Consider the following 14476-nt stretch of genomic DNA (forward strand, 5'->3'; position numbering starts at 1 on the left):
TCGGGGGTTTCTATCCCTCACTGGTTGAGGCTGCCCCTGGGGGCCTGAGGCCCTTGCACGTTGTTGCTGCCCAGGGCTAGGCTGAGCCAGCTCCTGAGATGTCACTAAGTCAACCCTCAGCTGGAGAGGCCGAGACTCGGTGCTGGGGTGAAGTTATTGGTGTGCCAGGAGCTGTCCCTGCAGTGCAAGTGGCTCAGAGGTGGCCAAGGGCACCCCTGGCAGGACCTCACCTGTGTCTGCACAGCTACCAGGCCGTCACTGCTGAGCGGCAGAGTTCTCCTCCGGGCTTGGGTCCACATGCCCTTTGGGTGGCAGAGTCCTGCACTCCCAGCATGTCCCAGCCCACCCTGTCCTCATGTCATCCCCCTCCAGGCCAGCCATTTGCAGGTCCCCGAGTAAACCAGGCTTGCCCACCCACATGCCTCTGCCAGGCACCTAGAGTGTCCTCAACCTGACCCTCTTGCGTGGACACCAACTCCCCTTTGGAGACCTAGAGAAGCATATGCCCACTCGGGGCAGCCCTGCCCTCCTCCCCATCAGGCTGGGCCCCTGCAGCGTCCGGAGCCTGCTCCTGTCTGGGCCCTCAGTGCCTCACCTGGGGCCTGACAGGCGCCCCCTGAAAGTATTTGCTGAATAACTGATCGGTCCGTGCCTCCCAAACCTCCACATGTACACGCATCACCCGGGCATTGTTAACGTGATGCCGCGGGGCCTCGGGGAGGCCGGAGACCCTGAGACCCGGGTGAGATGGAGGCTGCTGGGCCGCTCCGGACCGCATTTTGGAGAATGAGCTGACAGAGGCTTTTCTTTCTTCTGAAGTTGCCTCTCTTTATTTTCTTGTTTTTGTTTTTTGGTTTGTTTTGTTGTTATAGTTGAGATAGGATCTTTCTCTGTCACCCAGGCTGCAGTGCAGGGTGCCGTCACAGCCCACTGTAGCCTCTCAGTTTCAATTGATTCTCCCACCTCAGCATCCTGAGTAGCTGGAACTATAGGTGTGTGCCACCACGGCTGGCTAATTTTTGTAGTTTCTTTTCTTCTTTTTTTGTAAAGACAGGGTTCCACCATGTTGCCCAGACTGGCCTTGAACTCCTGGACTCAGTAATCCTCCCAACTTGGCCTCCCAAAGTGCTGGGATTACAGGCGTGAGCCACCATGCCTGTCCCCCTCTCTCTCCTTTCATCCCCTGGAAAACTCCTATTCAACCTTCAAGACCCCAGCCAAACAGTGACTCCTCAGTGAAGTCTTTCCTAATCTTGCTTCCTCCCTCTCCCGCCTAACCTGGCCAAGGCTGTATTCAGTGCAGCATAAGAGAATCAAATGCTTTCAAGTACACAGGGTGACACTGAGCGACTCGGAGCTTGTTCACCATTGAGTTGAGCTTGTGTTCGCTGTGCCGAGGATCATCTGTTCCCGATTTTTCAGGGAGCTCTGCACTGTCTTCCTGAGTCCTACTGGCACCTCCCCTGGGCTGGTCCTGGGGATGGGGATGAAAGACACAGCTCCAACCTCAGGGAGTGCCTGGCGGTGGATGTGGGGCCAAGGCCCAGCGAGAGAGGGGATGGAACACAGGTGCCCGGCCTCTTCGCTGATTTCCTCTGGGTGCTGGTGCTTGGCTGTTGTGAGGCCCCAGGGTCCTGGCCCGGGGAGCGTGGCCGTGGCAGTGGAGGCCTCTTGGCATAGCAGCCCTGACTCCTTGTGGTCGTTTAACCTCCCCACTTCCTGCTGAGCCTCTGGAGAGAAGCGCCGATAACAGCAGGCTCCACCCCCAGGGCTCCATGGCAGGTGCTGCCTGGACTGGGGCAGCGGCTCCCTTGCAGGCCCTGCTGTGTTGAGGACAGTCCCTGTGGAGGTTGCTCGTGTTCCCAATTCCCTGCGAGGTTGGCCTCTTTCTGCCCATTATTCAGGTGAGGCTGCGGAGGCCAGAAAGGTGCCCAGCCTAGGGTGATACAGAGCCCCTGTGCGAGCCGAGTCAGCCTGGCCCTGAGCCTGTCCACCTCCACCCCACTCAGGGCCCCTCATCTCCTGCAGCCCCAGGGGCCTTGGGAGGTTGACCTTTGTTGGAGCTCAGAAAACAATACCCCAAAATGAGGGACTCAGAAGCAGCCTCAAAAGCTAAAGTTGGCTGAGTGTGGTGGCTCACACCTGTTATCCCAGCATTTTGGGAGGCTGAGGTAGAAGAATCACTTGAGGTCAGGAGTTGGAGCCCAGCCTGGGCAACATAGTGAGGCCCCCATCTCTATAAAAAATGATAATAAAAGAAATGAGCCAGGCATGGTGGTGTGCCTGTGGTCCCAGCTACTCGGAAGGCTGAGTTGGGAGGATTGCTTGAGCCCAGGAGGTCGAGGCTACAGTGAGTCCTGATTGCACCATTGCACTCCAGCCTGGGTGACAGAGGGAGATCCTGTCTCAAAAAAAAAAAGAAGTTTTTTTCTGACCTTTTCCTGCCCTCCTGTCTCAGACTCATTCTCCCACAAGGCCAACCAGAGACTAGAATCCCTCTTCCCCAAGGCAGGTCCTGGAATCCAGAACCCCTTTCTCCCAAAGGCAGCTATAAAACCTAAAAATATGATGCAAACTTTCTCTCTGCCTTTCTGTGTAAAAACTGGCCCTAAAGAAATGATCTGACTACCTCATTTGACTGTAGGTCCTAAGACCCCCATTGTAGAGAGGGTCCTGCCCCACGCCCTTCTGGGAAGAATCCTGACGGACAGGCCCCACTGGGTTTCCCTGCTGTCTATTCACATTAGATCAGCCCTTTCATCCAATCCTGTTTCCAGACACTGTCCATACTTTGTTGAACCTAAGGCTGCAGGAGGGACGAGTGAGTGGCTGGAGGTGCCCGTAGGGCCCTGGCCCCCAGCAGTGGCTCCTCCCCTTGAGCAGCAGCTCTTCTCCTCCTTTGCTCCCAGCCCAGCTTCCCAGGGGTCTCCTGGGCCAGATCCCAGAGAGAGACGGAGCCCACCTTGATGATCCAGGACACCCAGCGCAGGTTCCAGGGACCCCAGTCAGACACCACCGCTGGTCCAATCAGCTGTGACCGCGGCTGCAGGAGTGAGGGGATGTGGGAGGAGCAGGGTCTCCCCAAACAGATCCAGTGTAGCCTGCAGGAGTTGGGGTGTGAGCTTTTGAGGAGGGATACATGGGGAGCTGGGACCCCCAAGATGGATCTAGCACAGCCCTTCCTCTTGAGCTGTGCCCCGCTAAACAGCCTCTCAGACTGGAGGGTGTGTCCACACGACCACGGCAGGGGAGGTTGGGTGGAACCTGGGGTTCTGCATTTTTGACCGGCTTGGGCTGATGAGACACTGCTGGTCCTCAGACCTCACTTTGAGAAGCGAGGCCTTACAGCACCACTCAGAGTTTTTTTTAAAAGGAAAACTCAGTGTTTTATTCAACTGGGGAAAAGTTCACATAACAAAATTCACCATCAACCATTTTGACGTACACAGTTCAGTAGCACTTACTGCACTCACTAACTTCTATTGCCACCTCTATCCGGTTCCAAGACAGCTCCATCACCCCCGAAGGGGACCCCAAGCCCGCCAGCAGTCACCTCTCACTCCTCCTTCCCCCTAGCTCCTGGCAACCCCCAATCTACTTTCTATCTCTTTTCTCTGTCTATCCTGGATGTCTCCTATAAATGGAGGCATGCAAGGTGCGGGCATTTGTGGCTGGCTTCTTTCACTGGCCATGGTGTTTTCCAGGTTCACCCACGTTGTAGCGTGAGTCAGCCCTTCATTCCTTCACAGGGCTGACTACAACCCCACTGTATGGAGATACCCGATTTCATGTGTTCATTTATCTGTTGATGGAAACTTGGGTAGTTTCCACATCGTGGCCATCATAAATAATGCTGCTATAAATGTTCCTGTACAAGTATCTGAAGACCAGTTTCAGCTCTTTTGGGTGTGAGAGATGCCTGCAACTCTTTTGGGTGTGAGATGCCTGTAGCTCTTTTGAGTGTGTGTGATGCCTGCAGCTCTTTTGAGTGTGAGAGATGCCTGCAGCTCTTTTGACTGTGAGAGATGCCTGCAGCTCTTTTGGGTGTGTGTGATGTCTGCAGTTCTTTTGGGTGTGTGAGATGCCTGCAGCTCTTTCGGGTATGAGATGCCTGCAGGTCTTCTGGGTGTGAGATGCCTGCAGGTCTTCTGGGTGTATGAGATGCCTGCGGCTCTTTTGGGTGTGAGATGCCTGCGGCTCTTTTGGGTGTGAGAGATGCCTGCAGCTCTTCTGTGTGTGTGTGATGCCTGCAGCTCTTTTGGGTGTGAGAGATGCCTGCAGCTCTTTTGGGTGTGTGTGATGGCTGCAGCTCTTCTGGGTGTGTGTGATGCCTGCAGCTCTTTTGGGTGTGAGATGCCTGCAGCTCTTCTGGGTGTGTGTGATGCCTGCAGCTCTTTTGGGTGTGAGATGCCTGCAGCTCTTTTGGGTGTGTGTGATGCCTGCAGCTCTTTTGGGTGTGAGATGCCTGCAGCTCTTTTGGGTGTGTGTGATGCCTGCAGCTCTTTTGGGTGTGAGATGCCTGCAGCTCTTTTGGGTGTGTGTGATGCCTGCAGCTCTTTTGGGTGTGAGATGCCTGCAGCTCTTCTGGGTGTGAGAGATGCCTGCAGCTCTTTTGGGTGTGAGATGCCTGTGGCTCTTCTGGGTGTGAGATGCCTGCAGCTCTTCTGGGTGTGTAAGATGCCTGCAGCTCTTTTGGGTGTGTGATGCCTGCAGCTCTTTTGGGTGTGTGAAATGCCTGCAGCTCTTTTGGGTGTGTGAGGTGCCCGCTGTGGGACTGCTGGGACTGATGGCAGCTCTGTGTTTCACCCATTGAAGAACCAATGTTTTGAAAACCATGAATCTGCTCGCACCTCCCATGTTTCATGAACATAGATTCCACACCTCTGTTTGGTAGCAGCATCATGCTCATCACGTGGATGTGGCCACTGGCATGGCTCATCCACAACGGCACCTTCTTGTGCCTGGTCAGTTGTTTTTAGGGTAAATTCCAACAGTGAAGGTGTAAGGTCAAGGTCAAGCCACTTGTGTTACATCACGCCTTCCCTCGGGAGGCTACCAGGGCCCTCCCCTACTGGAATCCATCAGGCCCTGTTCCTCACATTCTCCACGTTCTTTTTCGTCCTTGTCAATGTCATAGCAGGAGACACATGGACTCTGGAGATATGAGTATGAAGTCAGCCTCTAAAAATGCTGATATGCACTTCTCTGCACAAATCTGGGTCATACATGGTGTTAATGATAAATTCTCTGGGTGCTGGGATTATAGGTGATTGCTGTTTGTTTTGCCAATTGTTTATATGTATTTTCCATTTTTTCTACAATGAATGTGTATTACTTGGGTAATAAAAATAAGTTTTGGCTGGGTGCGGTGGCTCATGACTGTAATCACAACACTGGGAGGCTGAAGCAGGAGGACTGTTTGAGCCCAGGAGTTCAAGACCAGCCTGGGCAACATAGGGAGACCCTGTCTCTGCAAAGAATAGAAAAAATTAGCTGGGTGTGGTGACGCTCACCTGTAGTCCCAGCTAATTGGGAGGCTGAGGCAGGAGGATCACTTGAGCCAGGGAAGTCGAGGCTGCAGTGGGCTGCAATGGCACTGCTGCATTCTAGCCATCCTGGGCAACAGATACTGTCTCAAAAAAAAAAAGTTTTAAACAATGAAGTGGGGATGTGCTTGGGGTCTCTCCTCACGGGAACCCATTAGAGGGCAGAGCTGATCCTGCCAGCCCATCTGCCCACCTTGGGTGGGTTTTGGGGGCACAAACCCATCCTTGCCCTTGGCTGTGAGGCTGTCCTGGCAGCGCCCGCCAGCAAGAAGGTGGCAGTGCTGGGAACATGGGCTGTCTGGGACCCTAAAACTCCGCTGGGTCACTGCAACCTCCACCTTCCTGGTTCAAGCGATTCTCCTGCCTCAGGCTCCCCAGTAGCTGGGACTACAGGTGCCTACCACCATGCCCGGATAATTTTTGTATTTTTAGTAGAGACGAGGTTTCACCATGTTGGCCAGGCCACCGCGCCCGGCCATGTTTACCACTTTTAAGTGTGCAGTTCAGTGGCATTAAGCACATTCATAACATCGTATGACCATCACCACCATCACCTCCAGAACGGCTTCATCTTCCCCGGCTGAAACTCCATCCCCACGAAACACTGGCTCCCCATTCCCCTCCCCCAGGCCCCGGCTCCCACCACGCTTCTCACTGTCTCTAGGGACTCAGGTGAGTGGAATCCCACAGCATCTGCTCTTTCCTAACTGGTTTCTTTCACAGAGCGCCGTGTCCTCAAGCTTCCGTCTTGTTGCAGCACGTACCAGAATTTCCTTCCTTTTTGAGGCTAATGCAAAAATTAGCTGGCATGGTGGTATGCTCTTGCGGTCCCTGCCACTTGGGGGGCTGAGGTGGGAGGATCACTTGTGCCCAGGAGGTTGAGGCTGTAGTGAGCTGTAATCACACCACTGCACTCCAGCTTGGGCCACAGAGCAGGACCCTGTCTCCAAAAAAAAAATAAAAATAAAAATAAAAAAAATATATATATATAAATATATATAAATATATATATATATGGCTGGGTGCAGTGGCTCACACCTGTAATCCCAGCACTTTGGGAAGCTGAGATGGGGGGATCACCTGAGGTCAGGAATTCGAGACCAGCCTGGCCAACATGGCAAAACCCCATTTCTACCACAAATACAAAAAATAGCCAGGCGTGGTGGCGGGTGCCTGAAATCCCAGCTACTCAGGAGGCTGAGGCAGGAGAATCACTCGAACCACTAGGAGGCGGAGGTTGCAGTGAGCTGAGAGTGTGCCACTGCACTCCAGCCTGGGCGACAGAGTGAGACTCCATCTCAAAAATATATATATGTATCTTTAAAATAGGTAATTGCTTATCAATAGCACCAACTTCCTGAGCTATTAGGCCCCGCATCAGCTTTGTTGTCCTGATGCTATTCTCACTATGTCCCCTGCGGGCAACGCCGTCCACGCAGGCCACGTGTCTGTCTCTCATTCCAGCCGAGAGGCGTGCAGGGCCCCCTGGAGTCATTCTGGTCAGGGTGGGGCAAATCTGTAGGGTTGGGTTGAGAGGGGAATCCCGTGGCTCTTCTTGAGGATTTGAGGGGATTCCTTCAGCCGTGGTCCCAGGAATTCTCACGAGCCCCCATTCCGCTCCCGGGGCTGATCCAGACGCTGTGGATACAGCTGTGAGCAAGGGACCCACACTCCTGCTTCTCCTCTGAGTGAGGCAGGACCATCGCATGTTGAGAATAGAAGGAGGGCAAGGGCAGAATTAAATGAAAATTTGCTTCTGTCGTGGGAGGGGTGCATGTGTACGGTAAGAACGACCCCCCAGCTCTGCCCTTTATTTGCAAAATGTCTTTGAAGAGAAAGGAGGGCCGGGCACAGTGGCTCATGCCTATAATCCCAGCACTTTGGGAGGCAGAGGTGGGCAGATCACTTGAGATCAGCAGTTTGGGACCAGCCTGGCCAACATGGTGAAACCCTGTCTCTAGTAAAAACAAAAACAAAAACAAAAAATTAGCCAGGCACAGTGGTGAGCGCCTGTAATCCCAGCTACTGGGGAGGCTGAGGCAAGAGAATCCCTTGAACCCAGTAGGTGGAGGTTACAGTGAACTGATTTCGCGCCGCAGCACTCCAGCTTGGGCAACAGACGGAGACTCTGTCTCCAAAAAAAAAAAGAAAAAATAAAAAGAGAAAGTAGGAGCCATGTGTTCATTCCTTTGTTCACTTAATAATTCATTCATTCACTCATGCAAGACCATCACCCTGGGCCCTGAACCTGCTTCTCAGGTGGGCCACACCTGAACACATTCTACAGAGACTTCGAGGCTATTGGGGCCCATGTGTAGGGTCAGGGAGGACGGGCCAGTGGGTATGCAGAATAGGGTGGGGGCACCCAGCTTTGGGGTCCTTCGGGATTTCAGTGGATCGGCTGCTAATAACAAGCCCTTCCTGAGGGCCCCACGCTGCTTGCCTGTCGGTTCTGCCTCTGAACCACGAAGAGGCTGCCACCTGGCTCTGCTACGGTGACCGACCGTCCCAGTTTGCCTGGGACTGAGCGACTTCCTGGGAAGCAGAGCTGTTAGTGCTAGACCTGGGACAGCCCCAGGGAAACCAGGATGCTGGCCACTCCAGCTTCTGCCCACACGGCCTCCTCCACAGGAAGACTTCCTGAGCCCCTCCTCCCACAGCATGGCTCCAACGCCCTTGTGTTCTGGGGCCGTTGTTGGGGAATTCTGTTGGGACGGACTGTTTCTGTGGCCTTCTGGGGCTGTCCTTGGGGAATTCTGTTGGGACGGACTGTTTCTGTGGCCTTCTGGGGCTGTCCTTGGGGAATTCTGTTGGGACAAACTGTTTCTGCAGCATTCTGGGGCCATAGTTGGGAAATTCTGTTGGGACGGACTGTTTCTGTGGCATTCTGGGGCTGTCGTTGGGGAATTCTGTTGGGATGGACTGTTTCTGCACCTGTCTGTTGGACAAGCAGTTAAGCCCCTCATGAGTAGAGAGACCCTGCCTCGTCCATCCTTGTGCCTCCAGGGTCTAGCCCCATGCCTGCATGGCCGCCATTCCTGGACCTGGACTTGACATCCTGTTCTGAGTTGCAGTAGTTGTTCCGTAGTTACAAAGCAGTGTGTGCACGGGGAGAGGGCAGTGGCAAGGGAGCACCTGCACAGGTGAGTCAGGAGGAGCCGCTGCATGGGGCAGGTGGGGAAGGAGCAGAGGAGCACCTGGGCAAAGGCAAGGAAGGGCTGGAGAATTAGACGTAGCCAAGGTTATCTTGGGTGGGAGTTGGGAATGTGCAGAGGGGCTGGCAGGGATCTCGACGGAACACGTTGCCCTGTGGAGGGCCTTGAATCTGCCGTGGGGCTGCAGCACGTCTTGAGGGCACTGGGAGCCACTGGAGAATCCTAAGCTGAGGCAGGAGAATCATTAAGCAGGGGAGGTGCCTGACAATCCACGTGCTTCGCCAGGGTAGGGAAACTGGGAGGCACTGCCAGATGCAGGGGCCAGGGCAGAGGACAGAGCGGAGGCTGAGGGGGTCAGGTGGCACCTCCAGCCTTCTTCTGGGCTGGGTCTGCGCTGAGAGCTGCTTCCTGGAGGAGGAGAGATCAGTAGGGCCTGGGCCCCTAGGCCAGCATGTGGCTGCCCGGCCAGGAAAGTGCTACCAGAGAGGCACGGCCGGCTCCCTGTGGCTATAGCCTCAGCTCAGCGGGAGAGCTGGGGTCAAGCCAAGACCCTAGCAGGGTCCAAAGAGGGCTCCACCAGGCCAGGCTGGGGAGGAGGGCTGCCTGGGGTGATCACCCGTAGCCATCACTAGGAGGCAGACGGGGGATCGGCCCAAGAGGTCATGGCCACAAAGATGCTCCAAGGCTGGACTGTGGCGGCAAGTGTGGGGAACGAGGCTTCAGGGCAGAGCACTAATGCTTCTTTCTGCTGCACGCGGCAGGGCACCAGGCCTCTCCAGGGATGTGGACATGGGGGCTGGACTCCCAGCTGCAGACCTGCTGTGGGGTGCCTCTGATCAGGACTTCGGGGTGCCTCTGAGCAGGACTTCTTCTGAAGCAAGACTAACGGGAGCCTGGAGGCGACGGGAGAAGCCTGTTCAGAGTCCCCGGGATGAAGCGGGCCCCTAGTGAGCGGGACCTGCTGGCTAGCTGGGACCCCCCATTCTCTCTGTGTCAAATGGGCATGCTTGCTCTTCCCTCTTGAAGTATGGTGAGGATTAAATAATGGAGAAGGTGTAGACAGCTCTAAAACCCAATGAGTGCGGCTGTCGTCAATATGCAGGCCTCTCCGTAAACCAGCGTTAAAGAGCTCTGCAGAGTTTTGCAGACAGTGAGGAAGCCGTGTGCTTCCCGGCATGCATCCTTTATATGTTTCTCTGGGTGTTTGTTTCCAATTAGAATAATCAATTACACACTTGCCAGGTGTCTCATGTATGAGCCAGTTGGGAAGATTAAAACTGGACATTAATGCAGCAAGAGGAGGTGCTTAACTCGTGTGATAAGGTAGCAAAAACCAGGGTGAGAATAAAACACTTTCGGGAAAACTAAACAGCGGACTCAGTATCTGTCACCAAACTGTGGCCAGCGTGGTGAGGTGACAAGAACAGCCTTTCTGATCAGTTTGGAGGTTAAAAAGACTTGTGGAATGATTGGGTCATGAGAAGCACATGGTTTATTTCAGTAAAGCTTCTTTTACATAAGCAAGTTTTAGTCTAAAGAAAGATTTCACATTAAGGGAAAGTAGAATTACAGATTGACTCAGCACTTCATTTACATGTCTTTAAAAAGTGGCTAAGAAAAATAGTCCCCTTTGTAAGGGGCTATTGTAAGAAAATGATTGCAAGAAAAACCCCATAGTAATTGTAAGATGATTGTAAGAAAAACCCCATAGTAAATACAAAACCATAGAAGCCCTTTTTGTAAATCTTCCTCCAATGTCTGGGTTTTGGGCAGGGTGGGATGGAGTTGGGGCCCATGACTGGAGAGGCTTTGGAGTGTCAGCATCATGTAGGCGTGTCACCCACACTGGTCCCCTTCTGTGACCCTTGGGACGACCACTCCCCTTTAACGTAGAGAAAGGCAGTGGTACTTGAAGATCACCCAGGCGGGATTCAGCCCAGAGCTGGGTTTGCTCCAAACACCTTGCTTCTCTCTGTCGGTCATGGCAGAACGCCAGCCTCTCTGAGAAGGAAAGACCAACACCCATGCTTAGCAAGCCTCAAGACCCGCTTCTAAAACCTGCACCCTCGTTGGCCTTGGAGTGTAGCCTGGAGCAGGTCACCTGGCCCCTTGGGAGGTCCCAGAAGGCAGGACCCTGGCTGCCGTGTCTCCACATCCCTGACTTACAGGTGCTCAGTTAATGTGAGGTGAGGTGCCTTCTAGACTCCTTTTCAAGAGACTCATTACAAGTGGACTAGCGCTGTCCAAAAGAAATAGAATCCGTTGAAATCCTGTCATTTGCAACAACTTGGGTGGAACTGAAGGTCAACATGTTGAGTGAAATAAGCCAGGTGAAGAAAGACAAATTTTGCATGTTCTCACTCATATGTGAGAGCTAAAAATGAAAACAACTGAATGCATGGGACGGAGAATAGAAGGATGGTTACCAGAGGCTGGGAAGAGTTGCAGGACGGGCATGGTTAATGGGTATAAAACTATCGTTAGAATAAATAAGATCTAGTATTTGATAGCACAACAGGGTGAAGACAGTCAACAATAATTTATTGTATATTTTAAAATAGCTAAAAGAGTTGAACTGGAATTTTACTAACACAAAGAAATGATGCGTGCTTGAGGTGACGGACACCCCAATTGCCCTCATGCGATCATTATGTGTCACACATCTATGTCACATATACATATATAAGTACAGGTACTCATAATGATTAGAAATAAAATTGTTTTAAAAAAATAAATAGAATTCAAGGCACAGATGTAATTTTAGAAACCACATTTTAAAAAGTAAAAAGAGGCCAGGCATGGTGGCTCATATCTGTAATCTCAGCACTTTGGGAGGCCAAGGCAGGTGGATCACTTGAGCTGAGGAGTTCGTGACCAGTCTGGCCAACATGGTGAAACCCAGTCTCTACTAAAAATACAAAAATTAGCCGGGTGTGGTGGTGGGCACCTGTAGTCCTAGCTACTCGGGAGGCTGAGGCAGGAGACTCACTTGAATCTGGGAGGCAGAGATTGCAGTGAGCCAAGATCATACCACTGCACTCCAGCCTGGGCAATAGAGTGAGACTCCATAAAAAAAAAAAAAAAAAAAACCAACAACAACAAAAACAACTAAAAAGAAGCTGGTGAAATTTATTTTCCTACAATATTTTACTAATCACTATATTGAAAGTATTATCATGTCAACATGTGATCAATCCATAAATGAACAGCCAGGTACTTTCTGTTCTTTTTCCTGCCAAACCCTTGACGTCGTATGTATTCACACCCACAGCACAGCTCCATTGGGACACATCCTGTGTGGCTGGTTTCCCGTGTTGGCAGCACAGAACTAGAGTAATCCAGAGCCCTGTGCCCAGAGGCTATTCCATCAGGGTGGGGGGTGGCACTGTGGTGACTGGGAGCAGGAGGGTGCCAAGGCTGTGGCAGTGGGGATGGGAGAGGGAGCAAAGGGCAGCAGCAGGCCCCCGGTGCTCAGACCAGCAGGGTGGAGAGGAAAGCAGGATGGAGAGACCCCCGCCATCTCCCAAGCTCTGGGAGGGCAGGACCGTGAGCGCGAGTCCACGGGGAGGCACCGGGGCTGTGGGAGCCTCACCTGCACCCTGCACCTGGCTGGGTGGGGCTCCTCTTCTGGACCTGGCCCTTGGCCCCGGGGACTTGCTGCTTTTCTTTGCTTTCTGGAGCCTGGTGCAGGTACTGGCCAAGGGGTCCCAGCAGCTGCTGAATGAACACATGGCCCTGCTGAGGTTCATGTAGCAACAACACAATAGCAGGACACATTTGAGTTCATTTGCTCACTGGTTCCTTGAAACGATGCTTTGAATACAGACGATGCACTGAGCCCCTGCCTCCCCAGCGATGGGCATGTGGGGGGCGGGGCGGCGAGTGCAAAGCCAAGGTGGGCGGGCCAGGCTTCCCCTCAGGCTGGGGGAGGGGAGGCTGCCTGCCTCTCCTGGTGGTGGCTGGAAATCCTCGGTGTCCCTTGGTTTGTGCATGTTCCCAATTTCGGCCTTCGTCTCCCCTGTGTGTCTCTGGGTGGCTTCTCCTCTTATAAGGAGCCATTGGATCGGAAGCCCACCCTATTCCAGGATGACCTCATCTTCACTTAGCTCATTACGTCTGCAGAGACCTTATTTCCAAATAAGGTCACATTCGGGGTTTCTGGGTAGACTTGGACATTGGGGCACTTCACTCCCTCCCAGCTTCCGAGGGCTCTCCCAGCCCCCAGCTCCATCCCCAGGTTATCCCACAGGTGCCTGTCATGCGGCTCCTGCCTGTTTAATCCTGTCTCAGTGTTGGCTTCCCCGAGGACCTGGGCTGATGCAGGGATGTAGAGTTGTCAGGCCTGAGAGGCAGGGGCTCATCTGCGGTGGGGAAAGGGAAGACTGGGCCGGTGGCCAGTGTCCAGCAGTGGCACAAGGAGGCTGGGCTGACCCAGGTGTCTGGCTCTGTCAGCCAGGGTGGCAGCTGTGGTTGCCGACCTGTGGCCTCTTTCTGCGGGGAGCAGGTTTTGGGAAGGAGATGGGTCTGGGCTTAGGATGCTGAGCCCCAGGAGGGGTGGAGTCCACGAGGACATGCCTCAGGGCTCAGGGGTCACCGTGGGAGGTGGTCTGACCCCTGACCTTATTGTCCCCCACCACACTGCTGGCTGGCACAGAGATGTGGTTCCCCAATCTAGTGCTGGGGTAGGGGACAGCGTGAAGCCGAGGGGATGCCCTGGCCCCAGCTCGCAGGTGCGGCCCAAGAGGGTGGGGTGTGCACTGGGAAGGCACTAGTTCCACTGTCAATAGAATCTGTGCTGATGGTGCTGACCTGAGACCCCGGGACGACCAGTCTGTCCAGTGGGTAAGGTGGGCGGGAGAGGAGCACAGGAGGGGTGAGGGCTGTGGGGGACAGCTGGAGGTGGAGGCTGAGCAGCTGGGTTTGGGAGGAGAGCTGCTGAGCCACCTGCAGGTTCCTGGGACCCTCTATTCTGGGGGAGTTGGAGTGAGTGGAAGAAGGTGGGAATGGGGAGTGGAGGAGCCTGTGGCATCCCCACCTGCAGGGGAGAAGATTCCCAGCCTGGGTGTCAGTGCAGTCAGCAGTGTGGGCCCAGAGAACATGGGCTCATCACCCCTCTCCTCTGGGTCTGATTCCCCATTGGGAGCGGGAGAGCTCCTGAAACAGAAACTGCTGCCTGGAGCCCACAGGTGCAAAAACCCGGGGCCCAAGGCCTTTGCTGTTTTTAAACAAATCCACCCTTAGCCAACTCTCCCCGCCAGGCTTTTCCGCATGATTTGATGGGATGGGGCCTGCTGCCTCCTCCCTCTGCCCAGGGAAGGGTTCCCAGATGCGAGGGGGAGGAGGTGCGGCTCCTTCCTTTTCCTGGTGGCGCCGTGAAGATCTGTGTGTGTAGTTCTTGGAAAGATTCCAGGTGCTTGAAAACGACGTCTCAGTGGGTCAAGGGTGAGTGGGGAATCAGAGGTGACCCATGTCCAGGAGGGCCCCCCTTGCCTGGCATCTCCCACCACGGAGCCACAGACTGTGCTATCTCCCTCTCTTTGTCTCCCTCTCTCTCCCTGACTCTTTCCTTCTTCCTGTCTCCCTCTCCCTCTCTTTCTGTCTCTCTTTCTCTCTCACACACACACACACACATCCCTGGGTGATGGCTGTCGGTGGCTCCGCCCATGGCCAGATGGGAGAGGAGTGACAGGGCTGGGCAGTGGCTGGCCTCCAGGCCTCTGCCCTGCCTCCACCTGGGGGCCCGCTGGCTTTGGGTTTGGAGAAGAGGGCTGAAAG

At 54.0% G+C, this 14476-nt stretch overlaps 7 annotated features.

The window, feature by feature from the left end:
- Positions 1150 to 1698: an enhancer, noted in NCBI's record as "H3K4me1 hESC enhancer chr8:142114470-142115018 (GRCh37/hg19 assembly coordinates)". NCBI's record gives its function as "activates a minimal SCP1, AML or CMV promoter by ChIP-STARR-seq in primed H9 embryonic stem cells {active_cell/tissue: H9 hESC(primed)}" and the evidence as "EXISTENCE:reporter gene assay evidence [ECO:0000049][PMID:30033119]".
- Positions 1699 to 2246: an enhancer, noted in NCBI's record as "H3K4me1 hESC enhancer chr8:142115019-142115566 (GRCh37/hg19 assembly coordinates)". NCBI's record gives its function as "activates a minimal SCP1, AML or CMV promoter by ChIP-STARR-seq in primed H9 embryonic stem cells {active_cell/tissue: H9 hESC(primed)}" and the evidence as "EXISTENCE:reporter gene assay evidence [ECO:0000049][PMID:30033119]".
- Positions 3393 to 3732: an enhancer, noted in NCBI's record as "active region_28042". NCBI's record gives its function as "activates an Ori minimal core promoter by ATAC-STARR-seq in GM12878 lymphoblastoid cells {active_cell/tissue: GM12878}" and the evidence as "EXISTENCE:reporter gene assay evidence [ECO:0000049][PMID:35858748]".
- Positions 8665 to 9186: an enhancer, noted in NCBI's record as "H3K4me1 hESC enhancer chr8:142121985-142122506 (GRCh37/hg19 assembly coordinates)". NCBI's record gives its function as "activates a minimal SCP1, AML or CMV promoter by ChIP-STARR-seq in naive H9 embryonic stem cells {active_cell/tissue: H9 hESC(naive)}" and the evidence as "EXISTENCE:reporter gene assay evidence [ECO:0000049][PMID:30033119]".
- Positions 9187 to 9706: an enhancer, noted in NCBI's record as "H3K4me1 hESC enhancer chr8:142122507-142123026 (GRCh37/hg19 assembly coordinates)". NCBI's record gives its function as "activates a minimal SCP1, AML or CMV promoter by ChIP-STARR-seq in naive H9 embryonic stem cells {active_cell/tissue: H9 hESC(naive)}" and the evidence as "EXISTENCE:reporter gene assay evidence [ECO:0000049][PMID:30033119]".
- Positions 10122 to 10261: an enhancer, noted in NCBI's record as "active region_28043". NCBI's record gives its function as "activates an Ori minimal core promoter by ATAC-STARR-seq in GM12878 lymphoblastoid cells {active_cell/tissue: GM12878}" and the evidence as "EXISTENCE:reporter gene assay evidence [ECO:0000049][PMID:35858748]".
- Positions 10862 to 10941: an enhancer, noted in NCBI's record as "active region_28044". NCBI's record gives its function as "activates an Ori minimal core promoter by ATAC-STARR-seq in GM12878 lymphoblastoid cells {active_cell/tissue: GM12878}" and the evidence as "EXISTENCE:reporter gene assay evidence [ECO:0000049][PMID:35858748]".

Source organism: Homo sapiens, chromosome 8 (genome assembly GCF_000001405.40).
Source record: "Homo sapiens chromosome 8, GRCh38.p14 Primary Assembly".
In the NCBI taxonomy this organism is placed as follows: Eukaryota; Metazoa; Chordata; class Mammalia; order Primates; family Hominidae; genus Homo; species Homo sapiens.